The sequence below is a fragment of the Homo sapiens genome, chromosome 7, assembly GCF_000001405.40.
Source record: "Homo sapiens chromosome 7, GRCh38.p14 Primary Assembly".
Taxonomy (NCBI): Eukaryota; Metazoa; Chordata; class Mammalia; order Primates; family Hominidae; genus Homo; species Homo sapiens.
Genome location: NC_000007.14, coordinates 45,910,830 through 45,922,742, shown reverse-complemented (window position 1 = coordinate 45,922,742; position 11,913 = coordinate 45,910,830). Strand labels below are relative to the sequence as shown.

General features: G+C 48.9%; 1 protein-coding gene across 3 annotated transcripts, besides 2 other annotated features; it reads left to right on the top strand.

Moving 5' to 3' along the window:
• Positions 507-1,087: an enhancer, noted in NCBI's record as "H3K4me1 hESC enhancer chr7:45961255-45961835 (GRCh37/hg19 assembly coordinates)". NCBI's record gives its function as "activates a minimal SCP1, AML or CMV promoter by ChIP-STARR-seq in naive H9 embryonic stem cells {active_cell/tissue: H9 hESC(naive)}" and the evidence as "EXISTENCE:reporter gene assay evidence [ECO:0000049][PMID:30033119]".
• Positions 1,088-1,668: an enhancer, noted in NCBI's record as "H3K4me1 hESC enhancer chr7:45960674-45961254 (GRCh37/hg19 assembly coordinates)". NCBI's record gives its function as "activates a minimal SCP1, AML or CMV promoter by ChIP-STARR-seq in naive H9 embryonic stem cells {active_cell/tissue: H9 hESC(naive)}" and the evidence as "EXISTENCE:reporter gene assay evidence [ECO:0000049][PMID:30033119]".
• Positions 1,471-10,498, top strand: IGFBP3 (insulin like growth factor binding protein 3). Of its 3 annotated transcripts, none has more exons than NM_000598.5 (5): positions 1,471-2,005; positions 5,304-5,530; positions 6,076-6,195; positions 7,798-7,938; positions 8,909-10,498. In NM_000598.5, exons 1-4 carry the CDS (start codon positions 1,603-1,605, stop codon positions 7,921-7,923), a joined length of 876 nt encoding a protein of 291 aa, NP_000589.2. In that variant the 5' UTR covers positions 1,471-1,602; the 3' UTR covers positions 7,924-7,938; positions 8,909-10,498. The 3 variants fall into 3 exon arrangements, with proteins under 3 accessions (NP_000589.2, NP_001013416.1, XP_047276281.1); NM_001013398.2 differs by having other exon boundaries at positions 1,471-2,023; XM_047420325.1 differs by lacking the exon at positions 8,909-10,498 and having other exon boundaries at positions 7,798-8,491.

The following is an 11,913-nucleotide window of genomic DNA, read 5'->3' as shown; positions in this document are numbered from 1 at the left end:
GAAGCTGTATAGATATGGGGGAAGAGGTGGACAGGGGGAAAAGGGGAGAGGACGAGAGAGAGAAAGGGAGGGAGAGGGACAAGGAGAGACACTGGGCGAGAGATCGATTAGGAGAGACAGAAATGATGAATGAAGATTAACTTCACCCAAGGCTTCGTGCTGGAGGGGAATGGAGGAGCTCCTGATTTGCTATTACTACTCCAAACTGCAAAGGGCTCCTTCAAGTCACCTATCCACCTCCTAAGGCAAGCGTCCAATTTCAACAGCGTTCAGGAAAGTCTCCTCCCGCGGAGGTCTCACCGCTTCCCACTCCACCCCCACAAACTCTTTGGAAAAGTGCCTTGAAAAATTTAATCCTCAATCCAATCCTGGACCACCAGCGTCCTCTGTTGGTCACCGAAGGGAGGGGGTGCGCAGACAAAACTGAAGAAACTCGAGTGCCAGAGAAGGCCGACAGGAGTTACAGCGACCTCAGCGCGCAATTGCGCCCCCGAACTTTACTGAAAAGTGTTTAGATTGCAGAGATAAGCTAGAATCCCAACGCATCGAGAATACAGTAATACGAAGTCGCCTTCAAAAAATGACAATGAAAATTGCCTATTAAAGGACTATTTGGTTAATTACGTTTCAGCAGTGCCCAGTTTATTGTCTTTATTATTCTTTTGTCATGGGTGTAAACTCCATTTGAAAACATAATCAGGGAGAATACCCAAGACAAGAAGAACAGTTGTCATTTAAAATATTTGAAAAGCCCTGCCTTAAGGACGCATTCGCTTGCCGGTCCACTCTTAATTGGAGACTTGCGGTGTAGCAACACGTGAGAGTCTTCTTGCGTTGAGAAGTAAGCCTGGAAAGGGGCGAAGGCCCCGGGCGCATCTTCAGATGCGTATTTGTGGGCCCCTGGGGATATAAACAGCCCAGCGGGTGTAAATTAAACCCCGCAGTGCCTTGGCTCCCTGAGACCCAAATGTAAGTCAGAAATGTCCCAAGACTTCGCCTGCCAACGGAATTAAATTTTAGAAAGCTCCACGAGGTACACACGAATGCGGAGCGCTGTATGCCAGTTTCCCCGACACCGGCTCGCCGCAGGGAGACCTCACCCCGAGAGCGGAAGGGGTAAGGGCGGCGGGGTCAAGGAGATCGGGGGTGCTGAGTTGGCCAGGAGTGACTGGGGTGACCGGGGGTGCTGAGGTGGCCTGGAGTGCCGGGGTGGCCGGGCACACCTTGGTTCTTGTAGACGACAAGGTGACCCGGGCTCCGGGCGTGCGCACGAGGAGCAGGTGCCCGGGCGAGTCTCGAGCTGCACGCCCCCGAGCTCGGCCCCGGCTGCTCAGGGCGAAGCACGGGCCCCCGCAGCCGTGCCTGCGCCGACCCGCCCCCCTCCCAACCCCCACTCCTGGGCGCGCCGTTCCGGGGCGTGTCCTGGGCCACCCCGGCTTCTATATAGCGGCCGGCGCGCCCGGGCCGCCCAGATGCGAGCACTGCGGCTGGGCGCTGAGGATCAGCCGCTTCCTGCCTGGATTCCACAGCTTCGCGCCGTGTACTGTCGCCCCATCCCTGCGCGCCCAGCCTGCCAAGCAGCGTGCCCCGGTTGCAGGCGTCATGCAGCGGGCGCGACCCACGCTCTGGGCCGCTGCGCTGACTCTGCTGGTGCTGCTCCGCGGGCCGCCGGTGGCGCGGGCTGGCGCGAGCTCGGCGGGCTTGGGTCCCGTGGTGCGCTGCGAGCCGTGCGACGCGCGTGCACTGGCCCAGTGCGCGCCTCCGCCCGCCGTGTGCGCGGAGCTGGTGCGCGAGCCGGGCTGCGGCTGCTGCCTGACGTGCGCACTGAGCGAGGGCCAGCCGTGCGGCATCTACACCGAGCGCTGTGGCTCCGGCCTTCGCTGCCAGCCGTCGCCCGACGAGGCGCGACCGCTGCAGGCGCTGCTGGACGGCCGCGGGCTCTGCGTCAACGCTAGTGCCGTCAGCCGCCTGCGCGCCTACCTGCTGCCAGCGCCGCCAGCTCCAGGTGAGCCGCCCGCGCCAGGTGCGCTGCGTGCAGCACCCGGCGCACTGGCGCCGAAGGGCCTGGGGGTTGCTGGGTGCCGCTGCGGGAGACTCCGCTTTTCTTCTCACTGGAGATAATATGTGGGGAAACTGAAGGCGCTCCGGGAAAGGTGAAGGCGGTCGCCGGAGGGACCCTCCCCAGCCGGCCCTCTACTTGCTCGATTCTCTAAGTGCAGAGTACTTGTAAATTGCAAAGCGCTTTCAGTGAAAATGGGTTAAAGGTTTCCGGAGCTGAGGGGAGCGGTACCGATGTTTAGCTGTTGGAAAGATCCTGGACACAGGAGATTCTCCTCGCCCCGCACGGGGGTGCACACGGACTGCAATCCCAGGGATGCTTGGGGATGGGGGGGATATAGGCGGATTTGGACCAAGGAAGGTGGGCAGGCACGTTGTAGGAAATAGTACCTCTCTTTTAAAATACTGACTTTGCACAGCCTTTTGGTTTGCAAAGCAATGTCTAGTCCCGGTATGTCCAAAAACAAGTAAAGTGGATTCGGGTTTTGATATCTTCTGCGGTTGGAAAACCTGAAGCTGAAAAAGAAGTAACTTCTTAAGGTTACCCAGCGGCCACAACAGAGTGTAGGTTTGAACTCCGCGTGCCACTTTCAGTACCATACCATTCTTACAACTCGGGCCACCCCTGCACCTGCGCCGACCTCAAACAAACTTCCAGGTGCGTGGTGGGTGCGGGCAATGTGGACTAAGTCAATTTCAATGACACGGAAGGGAATTGGAATCAGTCCTAGGGCTGTCTCCCTTCTTAATCTGAAATGGGGGGGGGAATGAGATGTTGTTAAGGGGAGCCCCAGAAGAGGAAAAATGCAAACATTTGGCAGAGTTACCCTCTTGGCTTAGCCACTATCAGTATCAGGCAGACAGCGACTCTGGTAAGGGCATCACATTGTTCCCTTAAAAAAAGGAGCGGGGGTTGTTTAAATGGATTTGGCAGCTGTTCTTTCAAGCATTCTTAGCCAGCCTCACCTAGTTATATGAGAAATAAAGTTCCTGCCTTGCACAGCTGAAGGCTGGGAGAATTCTCCCCATCCTAATTCCCCCAACTCCCCAACGATCACGTTGGACAGATGTCACTGGGCAGGCCCCCATCTAGGGCTAGCAGGATGAACAGTCCCTTTATAATTTATGTAGCTGTAGAGTTCCACGCCCGGGTGAAGTTATTTTCTGGCTCGGCAAGGCTGGCTCTGTTCACCCCTGAGAAATGCTGGATTCATGGAAAGGCAAGATGCCTGAAACATACACTGGCTCTGGTCAGCTGTTAAAGCTGCTGGAGGCATTTGTCTCTCGGGGCAAAGTTATGTCATTTGCCAAGTGTCGTACATTATTGTGCATTTTGGGGTATTCAAAAAGTGATCTTAGAAATACTGATACACATCGTCATTCTTGGGCTTTAGCAATCATCATGATTACCACCTTAGTAGCACTGTAGTATAGGTTGATGTGAGTTATAAGATTATAAAAAGATCTAAGTGACTTCTAGAATCTATTTGACAAAAAAAGGTAAATTTTCGACAGTCAAAAGTCACAATTATCTGTTGCTTAAATAGAACTGTTTTGTCTTCATGCCCTAGTCTGCAGCCCAGGCATTAAGAAGAAACCAAGGAAATTTAAGAAATTACTCAAGGTTCTTAGAAAAGAAGTATAAATACGTTTATTTACATGTTCTTAGAGTATTTACATTCTTAGTATCTCTTTTATCTCAGTATTTCCTTGAAAAAGAAAGCAAGCTAAGATTAAAAGAAATTGAAACCAAATCCTCGCAGGTAGGGACCTCCTCTGTGAGGCTCTGTGCTGGACCCTGGGAATGTGTGCTTCCCAAGGTATGAAACCCCTTGGGGAACTTTACAGCAGGACCTCAGTGAGCTGTTTGGCAGGTGAGGAAACTAAGACCCAGAGAGGAGAGGGACTTTCCTAAGGCCCTGGTGAGTGACCTGCCAGTAGCCACTTCCAGGGGAGAGCAGAGCATCTGCAGCCAAATCATTGCAGCCCCAGGTAGCTTTCTAGAATAGACTGTGGACCAGATGGGCCACCTGAGCTCCCTGCTAGGGTTACACATTATAGCCCTGTTTGTTGTAGTAGAGAAATTTCATGACTCTCAATTGTGGACTTAAGCCGATGCCTCCAGACCTTGGCATGGTCCACAGGCCCTGGGAGCATGGGCTCTGAATGTAGCCTTTGATCCCCATAGCGGTCTTACAGCCCCTCCAAGTTCATTCTGAAGAAGGAATGGAGTGAGAATCCTGGCTGCAGATCCAGTCTTGAATTTAGTCATATACTTAAAATTCCAATTCAACTGTTAACATTCCAGCATCCATTTTAAGCATCAGACTTTCTTCATTTAGCACTTTTTATTATAAAAGGGAGATCTGCTGGAGGGGGATTTCTCCTACCCCACCCCCACCCAGGGAAGGAAAAGCTCTTTGGCACTTAGAAGTCTGAGCCGTGAGTGGGACTTTGGCATTGTCTGCATCCATGTGCTGCTGTGTTCACCCGGGGTGAAAAGGACTCACTTAGGCAGGCACCAGCAAGATGCACAGGGTCTGTGTAGACCTTGAGTTTTAGAGATGTAACGGGGACCTAGAAAACAAGCCACCAACATGCTTGCATGATTCTGAGCCCCTGAGGCAAAACGCTTTGCAGGTAATAATTCAGTTTTCCCATCTGAGCTGGACACCAAGCTCTTATAAGCGTGTTTACCTGGTAGCATTGAGGACGGTACTGGTCAACCTTGGAATTCCCATAAGGGCTTGTTACAACTCAGACTGCTGCCGCCACTCCAGCGTTTCCGGAGTGGAGAATGTGCATTTCTTCCAAGTCCCCGGGCTGCCGCTGCTCCCGCGGGTGGGAGGACCACACTTGGAGTTGACTGCAAAATTTCTGAGCCGGCGCTGCAGCAGCCTCCCGTGGCTCAGGTCTGCCCCCTGCCGGTGGAAGATGAAGCATACTGCCTTCACCTACTGAGGGGCACTGAAGCGTTTGTCTGCCTTCTTTAGTTGCAGCTACTTAGGAAGAGCACCTGTCAGATTGACTTTCAAACAGATAACTTCTTGAGGTAGAGCAACCACCATGTAGTGAGTAGTATGATGGAATAATACTTCATCGAGGTATTTTAAAAAAAAAAACTCACTTGGATTGCCAACTAATATTGTCATTTACATGTGACCTGGTTGCAACGTTAAGATTTTTAAAAGACTGTGATAGATATTGATGACTCTCATGTGTTTGTCTCTCTTGGGCGTTTTAAGGAAATGCTAGTGAGTCGGAGGAAGACCGCAGCGCCGGCAGTGTGGAGAGCCCGTCCGTCTCCAGCACGCACCGGGTGTCTGATCCCAAGTTCCACCCCCTCCATTCAAAGATAATCATCATCAAGAAAGGGCATGCTAAAGACAGCCAGCGCTACAAAGTTGACTACGAGTCTCAGAGCACAGATACCCAGAACTTCTCCTCCGAGTCCAAGCGGGAGACAGAATATGTGAGAGCTTTTCCTCTTGTTAAAGGAGGAGGGCAAGACCTGCCAAGCCTGGGTACTCAGAGCCTCTTGAGGGCAATTCTTACTCAACAAACCCCAGCGCCTGGCTGATGGGTGGGCAACCCCTAGCCCCTCTGTGCCCTACCTCTCTCCTCTCCTTACATAAAGAATATTGACCCTTTTGGAGAATCTTATGAGGATCAAGCTGAAATAACACTCTTAAAAGCATATGGGATGTCATAAAGACCTCTGCAGATAATGAAAAATATTCTCATAAAGATAGTTTTATTTACTTCATCCTCTATGCTTGTTGACCTGCTATTGGTTCCATACCAGCTTCTGTGCCTTACTCTGGGAAGAGCAAAAAGGAGACAGGGAGTGATGGTTAGCTTATTCGGGGGACTTTCGTGCTACATCAGACATAAGGTATCTGAGGAGCAAATTACAGGTCCCACTTTTGGTAGTTGTGCAGCATCGTAAGATTTTTAAAGCACACATTCTAGAGTAAAAACTGTGACTCTGTTGCTCTGGTCCTTCCTGATCCCCAGGGTCCCTGCCGTAGAGAAATGGAAGACACACTGAATCACCTGAAGTTCCTCAATGTGCTGAGTCCCAGGGGTGTACACATTCCCAACTGTGACAAGAAGGGATTTTATAAGAAAAAGCAGGTGAGTGAGGTCCTCAGTGTGTTTTCTTCCTCTTCTGTTGACACAGAGGAGAAACCCATCTCACCAGCCCCCAGGCTCTTCTGGCCATAGCTCTAACTCTGAGCCTGTGCAGCACCAGTGCCCAGGACTTGGTGCCAGTCTCAGGAGGTCAGACCAAGGGCTGCTTTGACTTGTTGCTCTGAGTGCTGCTATATTGGCCATAATCCTCAACCCTAGTGCCTTTCCACCACCCGCTTCCCACTCCTGTCCTTTCAATGGTTCACCCACAGGGCGGACAAGATGCTGCCCAGTGGCACCCTTTATAAACTGCAAGTGGACATGTTAACACATTTGTTAATGCTGCGTCAGGGAGTGACATTTCAAACAACTATTATAGTCAGTTTCCAAGAAGTGTGACATGAGGTCATACCACAAAAAGCTTACCCTGAAATCCCACAATCGTCCCCTTTCCTACTGATGCCTTCCCGATAGTGAGCAGGTTGCAATATTAAGATTTTGAAAAGGCTGTTGCTAGATGTTGGTGACTCGTGTGTCTCTGTCTCCCTTGGGCTTTTCAAGGAAATGCTAGTGAGTGGGGGGATGACTGCAGCATGGCCAGCTTGGAGAGCCCAGCCATCCCCAGCACATACCAGGTGTCTGTCTTGGCGTGGAGGGGATGGAACTTGAAATCAGACACTCGGTCCATGCTGGGGATGGCCAGTCTCTCCAAACTGGCCATGTGGTCTTCCTCCGACTCACTGGCATTTCCCTAGAAAGTCCAAGTGAGAAGAAGGCATGAGAGTCATCAACATCAAACAACAGTCTTTTCAAAATCTTTATATTGCAACATAGTCCCATTCCTGGAAAAGGAATGGAGTGAGAATCCTGGCTACACATCAGCCCCAAATGTAGTCATATGCCTAAAATCCCAATTAACCTGAAAATGATCAAACAAATTTAAGATATAGTAATATTAAGCTGTAATAAATATGCTTCTATAGGCTTTGTGTTATGTGATGGCACTATTTCAATTGGCTTTCTAATTGGACAATTGATACTATGCTATCTACAGAATTGGCCTTTGGAGACCTAAGTGAGCCACAGTGGCCTCAGGGTGACCATATACTAGGATTCATAGTAGTGGCCACAGTCAGAAAGCCTAAGCTTTCCTCCATTGCCATTGCTCGTTTATACCCACGTTTTCTGTCAAAGTCATATTCATTCAACAAAGTCATACTGAGAAGGTGTCATGTGAGGCTGGATGTGGGCTCCAAAGTCATAGCTGTGACATTCGCAGGCAGCGGGGATGTTCTCAGTCCCACATTTGGCAGAGAAGTCAGTCAAGAGGTTCTACAAGGGCTGGTGTCCACCTTATACTCCTAGAAACACAAAACTGCCCCCACCCCCGCTTTCTTGGAGCAGGAAGTTACACCCACACGCATGCACAGGCGCACACTCAGCGGGCCTAGGCACGCATGGCTCTTGTGTTGCCTTAGCTGAAATTTCTGTTGTGCTTTCTCAGCATAGCAGAGTCACGCTGGCAAACCATCATGCGCCCTGGCCACCGACCTGACACCAGACCCAGGAGCATTCACTTCTCTGTCTTCTGTTTCTCTCCCACAGTGTCGCCCTTCCAAAGGCAGGAAGCGGGGCTTCTGCTGGTGTGTGGATAAGTATGGGCAGCCTCTCCCAGGCTACACCACCAAGGGGAAGGAGGACGTGCACTGCTACAGCATGCAGAGCAAGTAGACGCCTGCCGCAAGGGTGAGTACTCAGGAGGGGCAGCCTGGGGCTCCAGGGCCTCACTGTCCTTGGACCAGCCTCAGGGGCTGGGCGTGGCCACTGGCCCTTCCCCAGGCTTACAGACCCAGGAGCTGCAGCTCAGGGCCAGAAAGAGCAAAGCAAATAGGACAGAGCCCTCAGAAGGGTGCAGGGAGAGGGAGACCCCATCAACCCAACCAAACAAGTGTGGGGAAGGAGGCCGGCCAGTGCACCTCAGGGACACTCTGCTTTATCTCAGATACCTCACAGCACCTAAGCTATCATTCATCCACACACAAAGTGAAGATTTTCAAAGTTAGGCTTTACCCGTGAGGTCTGGAGGTCCATTTATCTTCACAGAGAAACCGTTTTAATCCGCAAGAACCTGCTAAAGATACATGTTTCTAAATTAAAGATGTGAATGTGAGACAGCTGAAATAGCTCAGTTGGGAGAGCATCAGTTTGAAGATGCAGCTTTTTTTTTCTGTAAAATATATAATGAATATTCTGTTAGTCTGTGGCTAATATAATTTTAATAAAGTTAATTTAAATCTGATAGAAAAATGAAATTTTAAACGATAATTTTAGAGAATGCTATTATATCCAGTCTTCTTTTTTCTTTTAATAAATGAGGGAACTATTGGGGGAAAGGAATAAATACATTTTCTTTCATTTTATTAAGACAAATTTAGTAAGCAGAAGAAATTTGCATGTTTAGTTATAAGGGTTTCTTTTTTCCTTACAAGTTGGAAAAAATAATTCTAATTTAAGGGTAACTCTTTGACAATGAACACTGTGAGCAGCATCTGGTACTCGTTGCTTTGTTTGAAAACATGAGTTGAGACCCCAGCCCTGCACTTGCAGGCCTAGTGCCATTAGCCTGCAGGCTGTGCTGGATATCTCAGGGCAAGAGTCGAGCCCTTTTGATTTTGGGGGGATTATTTCAATATATTTCTTTTTCTTTTTGTTTTAGTTAATGTGGAGCTCAAATATGCCTTATTTTGCACAAAAGACTGCCAAGGACATGACCAGCAGCTGGCTACAGCCTCGATTTATATTTCTGTTTGTGGTGAACTGATTTTTTTTAAACCAAAGTTTAGAAAGAGGTTTTTGAAATGCCTATGGTTTCTTTGAATGGTAAACTTGAGCATCTTTTCACTTTCCAGTAGTCAGCAAAGAGCAGTTTGAATTTTCTTGTCGCTTCCTATCAAAATATTCAGAGACTCGAGCACAGCACCCAGACTTCATGCGCCCGTGGAATGCTCACCACATGTTGGTCGAAGCGGCCGACCACTGACTTTGTGACTTAGGCGGCTGTGTTGCCTATGTAGAGAACACGCTTCACCCCCACTCCCCGTACAGTGCGCACAGGCTTTATCGAGAATAGGAAAACCTTTAAACCCCGGTCATCCGGACATCCCAACGCATGCTCCTGGAGCTCACAGCCTTCTGTGGTGTCATTTCTGAAACAAGGGCGTGGATCCCTCAACCAAGAAGAATGTTTATGTCTTCAAGTGACCTGTACTGCTTGGGGACTATTGGAGAAAATAAGGTGGAGTCCTACTTGTTTAAAAAATATGTATCTAAGAATGTTCTAGGGCACTCTGGGAACCTATAAAGGCAGGTATTTCGGGCCCTCCTCTTCAGGAATCTTCCTGAAGACATGGCCCAGTCGAAGGCCCAGGATGGCTTTTGCTGCGGCCCCGTGGGGTAGGAGGGACAGAGAGACAGGGAGAGTCAGCCTCCACATTCAGAGGCATCACAAGTAATGGCACAATTCTTCGGATGACTGCAGAAAATAGTGTTTTGTAGTTCAACAACTCAAGACGAAGCTTATTTCTGAGGATAAGCTCTTTAAAGGCAAAGCTTTATTTTCATCTCTCATCTTTTGTCCTCCTTAGCACAATGTAAAAAAGAATAGTAATATCAGAACAGGAAGGAGGAATGGCTTGCTGGGGAGCCCATCCAGGACACTGGGAGCACATAGAGATTCACCCATGTTTGTTGAACTTAGAGTCATTCTCATGCTTTTCTTTATAATTCACACATATATGCAGAGAAGATATGTTCTTGTTAACATTGTATACAACATAGCCCCAAATATAGTAAGATCTATACTAGATAATCCTAGATGAAATGTTAGAGATGCTATATGATACAACTGTGGCCATGACTGAGGAAAGGAGCTCACGCCCAGAGACTGGGCTGCTCTCCCGGAGGCCAAACCCAAGAAGGTCTGGCAAAGTCAGGCTCAGGGAGACTCTGCCCTGCTGCAGACCTCGGTGTGGACACACGCTGCATAGAGCTCTCCTTGAAAACAGAGGGGTCTCAAGACATTCTGCCTACCTATTAGCTTTTCTTTATTTTTTTAACTTTTTGGGGGGAAAAGTATTTTTGAGAAGTTTGTCTTGCAATGTATTTATAAATAGTAAATAAAGTTTTTACCATTAAAAAAATATCTTTCCCTTTGTTATTGACCATCTCTGGGCTTTGTATCACTAATTATTTTATTTTATTATATAATAATTATTTTATTATAATAAAATCCTGAAAGGGGAAAATATTTTAGCTGTAGTGGAAAACTTCATAACCACAAATGTTTCCCTGCTTTCCCTTTTAGCAAAAGAACCCAAGTCAGTTTCCATGGCTTTGTGGGAAGCCTATGGAGGCATTGGGTCATATCTGCAAGATGGTCCAATTCTAGGAGGTTGTGTTGTTGGGACAGTCTGTGGCCCAGGTTTGATCAGGTCAGCAATGTGCACCTATGTGACTGGTCCTTGCCTTTTTTGGGTTGTGTCCTGTATTGTCCCATCTAACACTAGCAGCCATCCACAGACAAGCAGGGAAGGACCAGAACAGACACTCAGCAATTCAGTCTCGTGTCCTTTACCGCTTTGTCCCCTTCCCATCTCCAATCAGAGAGTGGCCCTTCTCTGCTCCAAGCAGAAGGGGTTCTGGGATCTAAGCCCCCTCATCTGCAGCCTTGGAAGAATTGTTACTTGTCAAAGCCACTTTAGACAAAACACTGAGCCTGTGGCTTCAGAGCATCCAAGGATAAACTGCAGTCGAAGAGTTACCTCCTGTCGAGTTACCTCCTGTCTAGCGCCATGTCTGATTTGTTGATGAAACATCTAAAATGATACCCTTATCACGTGTTGTATGTGATGAGCAGCAAGCCGGTTCTGTAAGTGTTCAGAGGACTGGTATTGTGGTGTGTGGTCTCAGGCTGATCACATGAGAAACCAGGACAAATGAGAAAGCAGGCCCCTTGGGGGTGCTGTGACTGCAAGGCTGTGAGGATGGAGGGAGACAGTGAGCAGAAGGAGCCCATTGCAGGGAGCAGGCACCAAGCGTCACGGAGAGTTGTGCGGCAGAATCCTGGAGCACCTGGGGAGCGAGGCCAAGTGTCTGGAAATCCAGGACCGGAACGTGGCAACCTCTTGGGAGCTGCTGAAGAGCTATGAGCTACAAAATAATGCTTGCCTTCTAAGCCCACTGGGTTTGTTTTCCTGGGAGCCACCAACTCATGTGCCCTTTCTTGTCCTCATTTCTTAACCTCTAACTTCTGCTGCTTCCCACACTTCATGATGATTAATTCTATGTGTCAACTTGACTGGGCCATGGGGTGCCCAGGTACAGCATCTGTGAGGGTGATACTGTGAGCGTAGTATCTGTGAAGGTGTTTCCAGATAAGATTAGCATTTAAATCAGTGGACTCAGTAAAATAGATTGCCCTCCCCAATGTGGGCAGGCATCCATCGATCCATTAAGGTTCTGAATAGAACAAAAGGCAGAGGAAAGAAGGGTTTGTGCCTTTTTTCTGTCTGCGTGGGCAGAATTGCACCACCAGCTTTCCTGGTTCTCCAGCTTGCAGATTACAGATGGTGAGACTTAGCCTCCATACTTAGCCAATTTTTTGTAATAAGTCTTTTTTGGTGGGTGATTAGAGATAAGTAGGTAGATAGACTAGATAGATGA

Bases quoted from the DNA above. Each gene is read 5' to 3' on its own strand.
- IGFBP3 (NM_001013398.2), top strand. From the start codon at position 1,603: ATGCAGCGGGCGCGACCCACGCTCTGGGCCGCTGCGCTGACTCTGCTG. The intron at 2,024-5,303 runs GTGCGCTGCGTG...GGGCGTTTTAAG, and splicing joins AGGTGAGCCGCCCGCGCCAG to GAAATGCTAGTGAGTCGGAG. The intron at 6,196-7,797 runs GTGAGTGAGGTC...TCTCTCCCACAG, and splicing joins GATTTTATAAGAAAAAGCAG to TGTCGCCCTTCCAAAGGCAG.